We start from the raw sequence: 12,918 nt of genomic DNA on the forward strand, positions 1-12,918 counted from the left end.
AGCACAACATTGTTTCATTATCAAAGAAAATAACATCTTTTGGGGGCTGTAAATACTCTGTGAGGACAAATGGATTTTCTAAAGGAGACTACTGACCATGTGTTAAACTATGACATTTCAATACACTTGTTTGATTGTTGGTCAAAAACATACTCAAAGGTAAACAACTTGAGCAAATAACAGGCAACTGAAGTTGACCATTTAAAGAGAGGGACAATGAGCATGAAAAATCAAGACGAATGCATTGCTTCAATTTCATAGACAACATGAATTAAACGCAAGCCACTGCCATTCTGCTTTAATTTAAATAAATCAAATGTTTTCACTGTCTCAGAAAACTAGTTTTTTCAATAACATTTATGACATATTTTTTCTTGGTTTGTGCACCTATTTGGAAAAGCATCACCGAGAGAGTTGTTGGTTATGAAAAAATACAATTCCCTTAGCCATTTACTGGGCTACATCAGTTAGTGGAAAACAGATTTCTCAAGATAAATTGTTATTGGTCATTAAAAACATATAATGCTTCTCCTTAGACAGACTAAATTTATCTGATATGTTTGTATTCCAGGATGAAATCAGAAAAGTGACTGACGACAGGGAAACAGGATAAGATCTATTTTCACACCAGATTTGTTATTCAAGTTGGCTTCAGAACTATTAATAAATATTTCCAAGAGCAGTTTTCATCAACTTAGATTAGACCAAGAATTATGACCACAGACCACAGACCCTCTGCCATCCCAGCTGGCCTCTCCCATCAAGTAGTGCAATGGGGCTATCAAATTTTTTATTTTATTTTATTATTTTTTTCTCTAGTTCTTCTAAAAAAAGGGGATACATGTACAGTACATGCATGTTTGTTACATAAGCCATTACATAGGTATACGTGTGCCATGGTGGTTTGCTGCACCTATTGACCCCTCCTCTAAATTTCTTCTCTTCAACCCCCACCCGCCAACAGGCTCTAGTGTGTGATGTTCCTCTCCCTGTGTCCATGTGTTCTCAATGTTCAACTCCCACTTATGAGTAAGAACATGCAGTGTTTGGTTTTCTGTTCCTGTGTTAGTTTGTTGAGGATGATGGCTTCATCCACGTCCCTACAAAGGACAGGATCTCATTCCTTTTTGTGGCTGCATAGTGTTCCACGGTGTATATGTACTACATTTTCTTTACCCAGTCTGTCATTGATGGACATTTGGGTTGGTTCCACGTCTTTACTATTGTAAATAGCACTGCAATAAACATAAATGTGTGTGTGTCTTTATAGTAGAATGATTTATATTCTTTTGGGTAGGGGCTATCAAATTTTTTATGAAGACTAGGTGGCCAGACAGCATATCTGCTCAGTTGTTCCTCCATTCCTACCCATTTTCCATACTCTCTCACACTCACTTTCACCCTCATCTTCACCAAAGGATGATAAAGCAAATGCCTACAATTGCAAGTGAGTGAGCAAGCAAGTCAAATGGAGAAAGACGAGCTATAGGAAGCTAAGCAGAATCATATGCTAAAACAGGGAGGTGCCTGCTTCACTTGGGATAAAGCCAGAAGCTTCCTTCCATCTCTTTGGTATCATTTCAGGCCTAGTTGAAAGTGAACGTGAACAGTAAAACGGGTGACCTTGAGCACAAGCTTATGGATAATGATAGTAAAAAAGGAATTGTGTTTCACAAAACCACAGGTTTCAGTCCCTTGAGGCTCTGAAAAAGTAAACAAGGAAGCTGACACATGACAGCATATCTTGAGAGCACACTCAAAGAATTTTTAGACACTTGTGATAAGAAGCTTTTTGGGGAATGTTCAGTTGTTTTTCCCTCCACACAGAAGCAGTGGGAGGCAGAGTTTAGATTTCTGAGCATTCCAGAACCTGGGGAGGGTCATAGCTGCTGCTGTTGCTAGAGAAGTCTGCGGAGTTAAGAGCAATAAAGGCAGTAAAAATAAAACCTAAAATAAGTATTTGGCCTTCTGTTCCTCAGCCTTCTCACTATGTGAGGCTCTTAGACTTCCTCCCTACTAAACAGTGGGCCAGACCTGCCTTCACTGTCATTTTCATCCTTGATTTATCTGTTTTCTTCAATGGAATTTTTGTTTGTTTTTGTTGTTTTTGTTTGTTTGTTTGTTTGTTTTTGAGACAGAGTGTCGCTCTGTCACCCAGGCTGGAGTGGCACGATCTCAGCTCACTGCAACCTCCGTCTCCCTGATTCAAGCACGTCTCCTGCCTCAGCCTCCTGAGTAGCTGGGACTACAGGCGTGCACCACCACGCCCAGCTAATTTTTTGTATTTTTAGTAAAGACGAGGTTTCACTATGTTGGCCAGGATGGTCTTGATCTCCTGACCTCGTGATCTGCCCGCCTCAGCCTCCCAAAGTGCTGGGATTACAGGTGTGAGCCAGCACACCCGGCCTCAATTGAATTTTTAATGAACCCCTCAGAGATAGTATCTTTGTATCTGAATAATTCCTAGGCGAGGTTTAGATATATCGAGTATGGTCAACTTCATTAGAACACATGAAAGTGGTGACTATTTTCTTCTCCCTCAGTTAGTTCATATCATCCTGTTTCTCTAGTGATAAAATATGAAAGATTCCAAAAGTTGTAAAAGGAGAGAAAACAGGAATATAGAAGCAGGGAGTGCGTAGGGAAGATGAGAGTGGCAGGGAACTAAATCTTGAGAAAGCACAGAACTCAACAGACATAGACCGAAAACCTTGTTTGTTATTAAATCTTACATTAGATTGAACAAGTGAAACTCCATCCCTGAGAAAGCTCACCTGTGAACTGGGCAATTTCAGTGCAGTTTTTTTTTTTCTTAGAGTTATTAATAAGATGAATTGAGATAATGCCAATGCCTTTTGGAAATAAGAACCAAACAAATGCAAGGTGGCCTGGAAAATTGTCTCCAAAAAAAGGCAGTGAGACCCCCATGAAACATTTTTAACTATATTTTTCAAAATTGCTTTTGTTTTCAAAGATTTACAACTTCAGGGAGACAAAGGAAACTCCAGCTCATCTCCCACATCATTGATTGAGAGGACCATTTTCTGACTGTCTGCACACGTAAGTACCTTGCTTTCACTAGTTAGAAGCTCTTGCACTCCAGTCCTTACCTCCTGATGCACTTTGTTCCTTATATTCTGTCTGTGATTAATGTAGGTAACTTCCAGCTACACCTGTCACATTTTAATCTAAGCTAAAGGGAGAACTATAGCCTAAAGGCACTGTAGGTAATTTCATGAACTTGTTTCTGAAAGATAGAGAATGACTGAGTAATGGAAAAATTGTGAGATCCTTCTGTTTCAACTCAGTGCATTACCAAATTGAGTGCTGGAGGAAGATCCCAAGGAAAGGAGAAAGAAGGACCAATTAGGGAGAAATCATAAATACTTGAATAGTTAGATAAGCTTCCCATTAATTAGAGAAAAAAATTAGTTATGAAGAGATAAAGGAAAATTATGAAGGAGAGCAGAGAAAAAGCACCATGCGAGGAAGCTTGTAATTAAAAACAGAATGAATGAAAACAGATCACAATTGGCTAAGTGGATGAAAAGAGAGGAATGGAAAAATAACATAGTTTTAACAAATGACAATGATAGAGGTAAAGACTCCTCCAACAAAAAGCAAGGATTAAAAAAAAAGAGATAATCTTCAAAGCAAAAAGAGACCCAAAAGGCTACCTGAAACTGAATGACAGAAACAAGAAAGAAAAAACCTGAAAGGGGGAAAAAAGACAAAACATACAGGAGAAGTAAGTAGACCCAGAAACACACATAAGAAAACATTATAAAACAGACCTATCTTATTCAAACATTAATGAAAGAATGAAGCTCTGAGAGTAATAAAATATTAATTATTATTCCACTACCTGCTAGTCTGTCTCTGCTGGCAGCTTTAGCATATCTACTTGTTTGAGTGACAACCTCCTGTCTTTGCTATTTCTCGCACTTTTTAAAGTCCCTCTCCCCAGGGGAGAACCTATTTTACTCTTATAGAACCTGTATAAATAATGGGCCAAGAAATCTTGTGTTTTGAAGATTGACTGAGAAAAAAAATTTCCAAAATGTTCTCCAAGTTGAAAAAGATGTAGAAGCCTTAGACCAAATAGTAGGTCAGTACCCAGAATATTCCCAAATAGATTTGTATCTGTAATTGGAAATAATGGCAATTTCTAGGGTTATTTGAGGACAAAATGAGATTATACACTTAGAGCATGTCTGGCATCTAGTACACACACAATAAATATTAGCTGTTATTGTAAGCATGGACACTCATTTTTATCAGATGGTGGGCCAAACCCTGTTGGACTGTGACATACTTATTGCTTCTTCCTGGGTCTCTCAACCCAAGTGAGAAGTCAGCAAAGAAATCATTCGGGAAACCCTCTGTTTTTGTTTGTTTGTTTGTTTGTTTTTAATACCATAATTAGATTAACTAATGCTTGTTCCATTATTTCCTATGAACAATCCAAGTTTTTTCTTTCAGGAAGCTGTGCCCTGTGGTCAGGGCCAGACATGTTTCTGTGCTTTTCCTCTCCACCTGCTTCTCCCCTGTGATGCAAAGGCAAAGGGGCTGTGGGTGTGGCTGAGTGCTCAGGAGGGCACCGCCCAGTGAGGTCAGTGAGTGTCAGTGACTCACGTCCGCCTAGAATTGCCCCCACCAGGGCCTTGCTGAGTCTTCTCCCTGCTGCTGGGAATTTTGTCCCACCTTTATGTAGATGTGCGTTACTGAGTTTATCTGCATAGGAAAGGATGTGAGCTCTGAGTTCCCGGACTCTTCCTCCTCTCAGGTTCCTTAGAATGATTTAGGAGTAGGATTCTGAGCATCTTGGGGAGCTCTCCTGGGGGGTCTAATCGCCCATGTCTCAGGGACATGGGAAGGCCTAACAATCAAAGTGCACTTGGTGCTAGACATAGAAGTGGGAAGAAAGTGGAGAACAAATGAACAGGAGGCTGGCTATCTGGATATCTGGATGAGGGGCTCGAAGGACCATAGAGACCACCCAACCCATGGGATAGACAAAGAACGGGCAGTGTCCAGAAGCGGAACTGGAAAGTCCCCTATACCCACATGGCCCACCCGTGCTAGATTTTCAATCCCTGGATTCAACACTGCCACTGTCAAATATGTTATTTCTGGGAGATTCTCTGACCTCACTTATGCTTAGTTTCTTCATATATATAGTGGGAATTTTATAACTCATTTGTCAGTCTTTTCCTGGAATAAAAACAAATGAGATACAGAAATGCTTTGCAAGCAGATGAACTAAATAAACACATCCAGAGAACTGGCAAACTGTACTGCTCCTTCCTACCCACTTCTTTGCTAAGTTTTGGAAGAGGATTTGTGGACAAACATCCTATTTTACATCTCCCATCTGGGGACAATATATCAAATGACTTACAACATTTTAATCATGTAACACAGGTCTACTGTTATGAGTATTTAAAGTGTTGAAGATTTAAAAAGAAATGAAAATGACAATGCCTTCATTTAAAAGTGGAATGTTCTCTGAAAAAGTCAGAAAGAACTCCAAACTCAATTATTATTATTGAATCATATTTATTAAACAGTGTATGCTGTGTCCTCAAGAAAGAGACTACACACAGAAACAGATTAAGAAACACAAAACTCCAAACCCCAGAACGAACACTATGGTTGAAAATGCCCAGAGCACATGTGACTTTTCAGGAACCTCTGATGACCCTGAAGCCACAGACAGGGAACCCTGGCTCTAGACTGTTAGCAACTCCAGACAGGAACAATGCTTTATTTGTTATTGTACCCCAAATCCCAGCACAGTGCCAGCATCTAAGAGATGTCATTCTGAATTGGCAGGGCTAGACTCATTGTTATTTATGCTCTTTTAACACAAGCACAGGTATGAAGGACAGCTTTGGACCAGGGACTCAGAGGGAGGATAACAATAGCTGAAGAGTTTGAAAAGCAAGACAAGAGCACAGGTATCCAAACTGCTGAGAAGTGACTCCACTTCTCAGCTAGCTATGAAGGTGTGGTGGACAGGGACAGTCCTAACAGCCAGCTAAGAATTCAGGAGAACACCTGAGGACAAGATCTTGATACAGTTATTGGAACCACGGTACAAGATGAGGTGTGACTAAGGGCAAGCCAGACCAGAGGCTAGTTACAGAAAATGGGTGCAAATCATAGAGAATGGGTATTCCTAGCCTCCTAGGGTAGGGTAATGAAGGGTCTAGGAGTCAGGGAAATAATTGCAGGAGGTTCTATCTTTGACTGTGCCTGGGACTGGAAGAGATCACTCAGCTTCTCTGAGGTTGTTCCATGGAGCTTGCAAGTTTTCAAAGCACTCTTAGGCCCACTTTTAGAGGTTCATAAATACAAGACAGCTTCTTAGTTTTGATTGCTTCTACCTTATGCCAAGCATATGGTACTGAAAAAATTAAACAGTAGACATTTTTTACAATAATCAGTTGTAAAAATAATCGATTGGTGATATTAAAATGTTGTTTACCCGTATTCATCCTTCCACATAGTGTAGTCTAACAGACGTCATTTAACCTCAACACTTAATCATCTGCTCCTAAAACTCTGCTGCTCTTGTGGGGTATTATACTCCATTATTCTAAGACTAGGGAGTACTTGGAAGAGAAGATCCAGAAGAGTGGCATCATAGTTGGGTAGGCTGGGCTACATCTCATGAAGATGCATTTATAAGAACAAAACTCATTTGAAGGGAAAATATAAATGATACCTACATTAGCTGATAAATAGAAGCTAATTAAGAGATTTTCTGTAAATTTTAAGTTTACAGACTCTTAGAATCAGAAGGGATCTTGGAAATTACCACATTGCCAATTACTAATTTTCAATTGAAGAACCAGGTTTTAAGGTTGAGTGGGTTGCTGAAGGCCAGGAAGTTAGAGGAAAGGAATAGGATCTGTTTCCTCTCATCCCAATCAATGCTCCTTCCGGGGACCTCCCTGGCTGGAGGAAATGGGGTGGGGATAAGAACCAGGAGGAGAGATGTGTAGATTACTCCTTTCTTCTCAATGTCTGCCATACAGAAGTCATTTTGTCCAGTGGGGGAATTGTAAGGAAAAAACCATATTTTAAAATTCCCTAACAAATATGACATCACAAGTCAGGTTTCTTCTCTAGAATTTCTAGTTGTTTCTAATGACAACCTTATTTAATAACTCCCATAGCATTATTTTTACTTGTTTTCTAAGAAAAATAAAGGTTTTGAAAGTAATATTTTTGAGTAGGAAAAAACTAGGAGATCAAAAACTGAGAAAAATATGAACAAAATTATTTTAAAATTTGTGTTTCTTTTTAAATTGTATTACTTTTGGTAGAATGAACCCATTTTAAGCAGTATTATAATAATGAAGTTTACATTGTGGCAAAATTAGCTTTTGATTTATTACAAACAATATTTCTGATAATATTTTTTGAGGAATTTGTTACCCCATTAAAATTTTCCTTACATCTCTACTTGAATGTCTGTAGTTTCTGGTTAAGACTGATTAAATCTAAGGAAATGTTCTTCTTAGATGAAAGAAGGGGTTCAATGCATCATGCTTCCTCTGTAAATGCTTTTGCTAATGGAGTGCTCATGTTCAACCAGATGTGGGAAAATTCTATCGACAGGCCCTTGAATAACTAATTGACAATTACCATGGGAAGTCTTTTGATAGAAGGCCACTTGACTTTTATTAAATGTCAAACTTCCTTAGACCACAGATATCACATGTTTCTAACATGACTTGAATCCTTTGAGAGAAAGAAATCAGTCATGTCTGATGCCAGGGTTAATATAGATTTGGGGCTGTCTTTATTCTTTAAGGAGGATGACAGCTAACATTTATGGAGTACTTATCATGTGCAAGTCTCTGTTCTAAGTATTTTATATGGATTAACAACATTATTATTGTCCCAATCTTACTGTTGAGGGAAATAAGGCACAACAGGTTAAGAACTTGGCTAAGATACACAGCTCATAAGGAAGTCTAGGCCCAGAGACTGTGCCCTTTTATGTTATACTGCCTTCTTTTTTTTTTTTTTTAGGCTATTAAATTACTATAATTGTATTTTTTAGTGGAGAAAGACAGCTAGGTATAATTTATTATAGGTGGTGTATTCCCTGAATTCTGGATCTGTTTGCTTCCTATGGTTTTTTTTTTATTATTATACTTTAAGTTTTAGGGTACATGTGCACAATGTGCAGGTTAGTTACATATGTATACATGTGCCATGTTGGTGTGCTGCACCCATTAACTCGTCATTTAACATTAGGTATATCTCCTAATGCTATCCCTCCCCCGTCCCCCCACCCAACAACAGGCCCCAGTGTGTGATGTTCCTCTTCCTGTGTCCACGTGTTCTCATTGTTCAATTTCCACCTATGAGTGAGAACATGCAGTGTTTGGTTTTTAGTCCTTGCGATAGTTTGCTGAGAATGATAGTTTCCAGCTTCATCCATGTCCCTACAAAGGACATGAACTCATCATTTTTTGTGGCTGCATAGTATTCCATGGTGTATATGTGCCACATTTTCTTAATCCAGTCTATCATTGTTGGACATTTGGGTTGGTTCCAAGTCTTTGCTATTGTGAATAGTGCCGCAATAAACATACGTGTGCATGTGTCTTTATAGCAGCATGATTTATAATCCTTTGGGTATATACCCAGTAGTGGGATGGCTGGGTCAAATGGTATTTCTAGTTCTAGATCCCTGAGGAATTGCCACACTGACTTCCACAATGGTTGAACTAGTTTACAGTCCCACCAACAGTGTAAAAGTGTTCCTATTTCTCCACATCCTCTCCAGCACCTGTTGTTTCCTGACTTTTTAATGATCGCCATTCTAACTGGTGATACTGCCTTCTATGAGTAAAAATTTCTATACGTTGTTATCATTGTCCCTAACAGACCATGATTTTAGATTATTCACTAGGGTTCTACTAAATAAAGAAAATATGGATCCTTAAATTAACTCATTATCTCTAATTGTCCCCTCTACATGAGCAGTGATAGCAATGATGGCTATTATTATTATTTTGGACTTTTAAAATAAGTTTTTATTTCCAGTGGAAATAGGACCTTGTCACCATTATTAATCTAGCGTTGCACTGCACGGTACAGTAGGCACTAGTTTCCTGTGGCTATTTAAAATGAAATTAATTACAATTAAGTACTGTCATACTCTGTTTTCTGTTGCTTCTAAAAGAATAACTGAAACTGGGTAATTTATAGAGAAAAATAATTTATTCCTTATGTTATATAGGCTGGTAAGTCCAAGGTCAAGGGGCTACATCTGGTGAGGGCCTTCTGGCTAGTGAGGACTCTCTGCAGAGTCCCAAGGCAGTTCAGGGCATCACATGGTTAGGAGCTAAGCTTGCTAGCTTGGGTCTGTCTTCCTCTTGTTCTAAAGCCACAAATCCCACTCCCATGCACCCACTAATCCATTAACATATTAATCCATTAACATATTAATCCATTAATTCATGAATGAATTAATCTATTCATGAGAGCAGAGCCCCCATGACCCACTCACCTCTTAAAGGCCCTGCCTGTCAATTCTGCCACATTGGAGATTAACTTTCAACATGAGTTTTGAAGGGGACAAACCTTCAAACCATAGCAAGTACAATTTAAAAAGTAGTTCTCAGTCATACTAGCTATGTTTTTAGTCCTTAATAGTCACAGGTGGATAGTGCTACCATAGATATAAAAAACTTCTATCATAATAGAGAGTTCTATTGAACAGCAATGTGTTATAGAATGCTCAGCTTCTTTATATGTAACTAAACAAATCAATTACTAGCTGCAGAATGCAGCCAGGAGACAGAACTTCACCTATTTGGGGGAAAAAAAAAACAACCTCATAAATTTATCTTTAAACTTGTGAGGTTGGAACTAATTAAAGTTTCCTATTTGACCTTGAACCAAGTCAACATAAAGTGAGAAAGTTACAAGTGAGAGGAGACAGATTGGCTGGTGATTTGATGAATCAGTAAATTATTTATGTAAAGAAGGGAGGATCTTTTCCATGGAGCTAAAGGGAGTGTGTTAAAAGGACTCTTGGCTCCCCAAAACTAGAATAACTCACTTTTGATGTGTAGTAACAGGGATATATATACCATTTAGAATGTCAAAATGAGCAGAATATTTTGCCATAGGAACATGTTTTGAAGATTCTGAGAAAGAAATGGGATTTTAGGGTCTTTTCTAGTCATGTGAAAGGGACTTGTTTTAGTCAGCTTTCTCCAGAGAGAGAAACTATAGAATATAGACAGTAATACATAAAAAGGGATTTGTTAGAGGAATTGGCTCCCTTGATTATGGAAGCTGGGAAGTCTCAAGATAGGCTGTCTGCAAGCTGGAGAACCAGGAAAGCAGATAGCATGGCTTGGCCCATGTCTAAAGGCCTCAGGACCAAGGAAGCCAATGGTGTAACCCTCACTCAGAAGCTGAAGGTCTAACAGCATGAGGGTGGGGAGGTGGGTGTCACATAAGTCCTGGAGTCCGAAGGCCAGAGAACCTGGTGTTTTGATACCCAAGGGCAGGAAAAGAAGAATGTCTTGGCACTGGCACAGAGATTAAATTTGCCCTTTCTTCATCTTTTTGTTCCATTCAGGCCTCCATCCAATTGGATGGCACCTGTCCACATTGAGGGCAGATCTTCCCACTCAGTCCACTGGCTCATATACCAATGTCCTCTGGAAACACCCTCATAGACACACCTGGAACAGCCCCATCATTCATCGTTCTAATCAAAAGCAACACAGGAAGGGGAACATCACACACCACACACCGGGGCCTGTGGTGGGGTGGGGGGAGGGGGGAGGGATAGCATTAGGAGATATACCTAATATTAAATGACGAGTTAATGGGTGCAGCACACCAACATGGCACATGTATACATATGTAACTAACCTGCACATTGTGCACATGTACCCTAAAACTTAAAGTATAATAATAAATAAATAAATAAATAAATATGTGGTAAAAAATCCCCCCCCCCAAAAAAAAGTGAATCCACCTGGGTTTTCCTTTCAGCAGGAGAGAGACAGGCTCAGTACCTACTGCTGCACTGAGAATAATTGATGCTTTACCAGCTATCTGGGTATCCCTCAATCTAGTCAAGTTGACCCCCAAAATTAACCATCACAGTACAAAAGGACTGACTTGCTTGGGATTATGCAGGTCAGACTGGCTTTTAGATTTCTGGGTTGGGACAAAAGATACCAGGATCTGTGGTCATGATTCACTCTGGTGAGGGAAAAATGTTGTGGGTGAGGTATTATGTTTTGTGCAAGAGATAATTTTGACTCCAGGTCTGTTTGTCCACCAAAAGCCTGTCTTCCCACTATGGCACATGTCATTGGTACATATCCCACAAGTTTAGCAAATTTAATTGGGGAAGTCAGAAAAGATGTTGCCTGGAAGAATGGCCTCAGGAAGAGGAAAGAGTGGGAGCCACAGGCTGATTGGATGTAACAGGAGAGCCGCTCTAGGGAAGAAGATTGGCCAAGATGGAGGCAGTGGGATGGGGAGGAGGAGACACAACACATTTAATAGCTCTCCTTTGGCCACAGTAGCCTCGAAGAAATGGAAATTAGTACTTAAATTATGTAGGAAGGTAGACTATAGTACTGAGCACAAGAGAGAATTTTCCCTACTATTGCTGTCCAAAGGTGTTATCCTGTGAAGAAGCTGAGACTGACTGCATCAACAATAACTAGCCTTCGTTATGGAGGTTTCCTATGGTCCTAAACTTGACTTCAAGGTTAAGTTCTGTTAGGCACTAGCACTCCAGAAGGGTCAACCTCCTCTGAATCCTGATGCATTCATTCATGTCTCAATTAAGGGAAATGACATCATTTTAGAGAATTGGCACTTTCAAGGGGGTCAGTAAGTAAACTTACAGTATTAAATGGACTCGTCAAATGGCAAACAACACACTTTCCAGTGCACAGAAATGAGCAGTGTTTTCCTCTGAGACTCCTCTTTTCCTCCTCCGCCATAGGTAACAATCCTAGACCAGTATTATTCAATGTTCCTCTAGGTACCCTCTTTATTTTCCTGAGAAGGTAGAACATTCTTCTGTTTAGCATTTGTTTTCCTGTGTTTTCATCTAAAAAACCATCTGCTGTATTCTCAGAAAAGGGTTTCTCAGGAGGCGAGGAGTTAGGACTGATGTAGAGGTGATGTGAAGTGGAGGTGGAAAAGAAAATGAATCAGTAGAGCTGCTTGTGAAAGCTGACACAAAGTCTGTATTAAGACTTTTGGCTCAAGTTTTTGTATATTTTTGGGTGCATTCTAGGTTTACAGAAATAATTTTTAAAAGCAAAAATAAAAATAATAATTGAGAGCTAGGCTGGGCACAGTGGCTCACACCTGTAATCCCAGTGCTTTGGGAGGCTGAAGCAGGCAGATCTCCTGAGGTCTGGAGATAGAGACCAGCCTGACCAACATGGAGAAACCCTGTCTCTACTAAAAATACAAAATTAGCTGGATGTGGTGATGCATGCCTGTAATCCTAGCTACTCAAGAGGCTGAGGCAGGAGAGTTGCTTGAACCTGGGAGGTGGAGGTTGTGGTGAGCCAAGACTGTGCCATTTCACTGCAGCCTGGGCAAGAGCGAAACTCCATCTCAAAATACTACTACTACTACTACTACTACTACTACTACTACTAATAATAATAATAATAATAATAATTGAGAGCTAAAACATATTTCACCTGTAGGGCACTATCTCAATCTATTCTGGGACTGAGATCATTTGGGGCTGCTGAGAGAAAAGCCGACATAAAATGAATTTTTGTGGCCTTGTTTTTAATGTGTAAGGTCATAAAAATGAGTATCACCACCTCAGATTGGAGCAGATATGCCAAGAGTCAGCTTCTTTGTGCCTTTTATCAAAGCCACGCCTGC

At 39.6% G+C, this 12,918-nt stretch overlaps 1 long non-coding RNA gene across 2 annotated transcripts in view; it reads left to right on the forward strand.

Moving 5' to 3' along the window:
• Window positions 1–12,918, forward strand: part of LOC101927947 (uncharacterized) — a 469,997-nt gene that overhangs the window by 375,171 nt on the left and 81,908 nt on the right. For both annotated transcript variants that reach the window (XR_007058336.1, XR_007058335.1), the window contains one exon: window positions 2,975–3,060. This is a non-coding gene — a long non-coding RNA (uncharacterized LOC101927947). The remainder of the gene's footprint in view (window positions 1–2,974; window positions 3,061–12,918) is intronic.

The sequence above is a fragment of the Homo sapiens genome, chromosome 4, assembly GCF_000001405.40.
Source record: "Homo sapiens chromosome 4, GRCh38.p14 Primary Assembly".
Taxonomy (NCBI): Eukaryota; Metazoa; Chordata; class Mammalia; order Primates; family Hominidae; genus Homo; species Homo sapiens.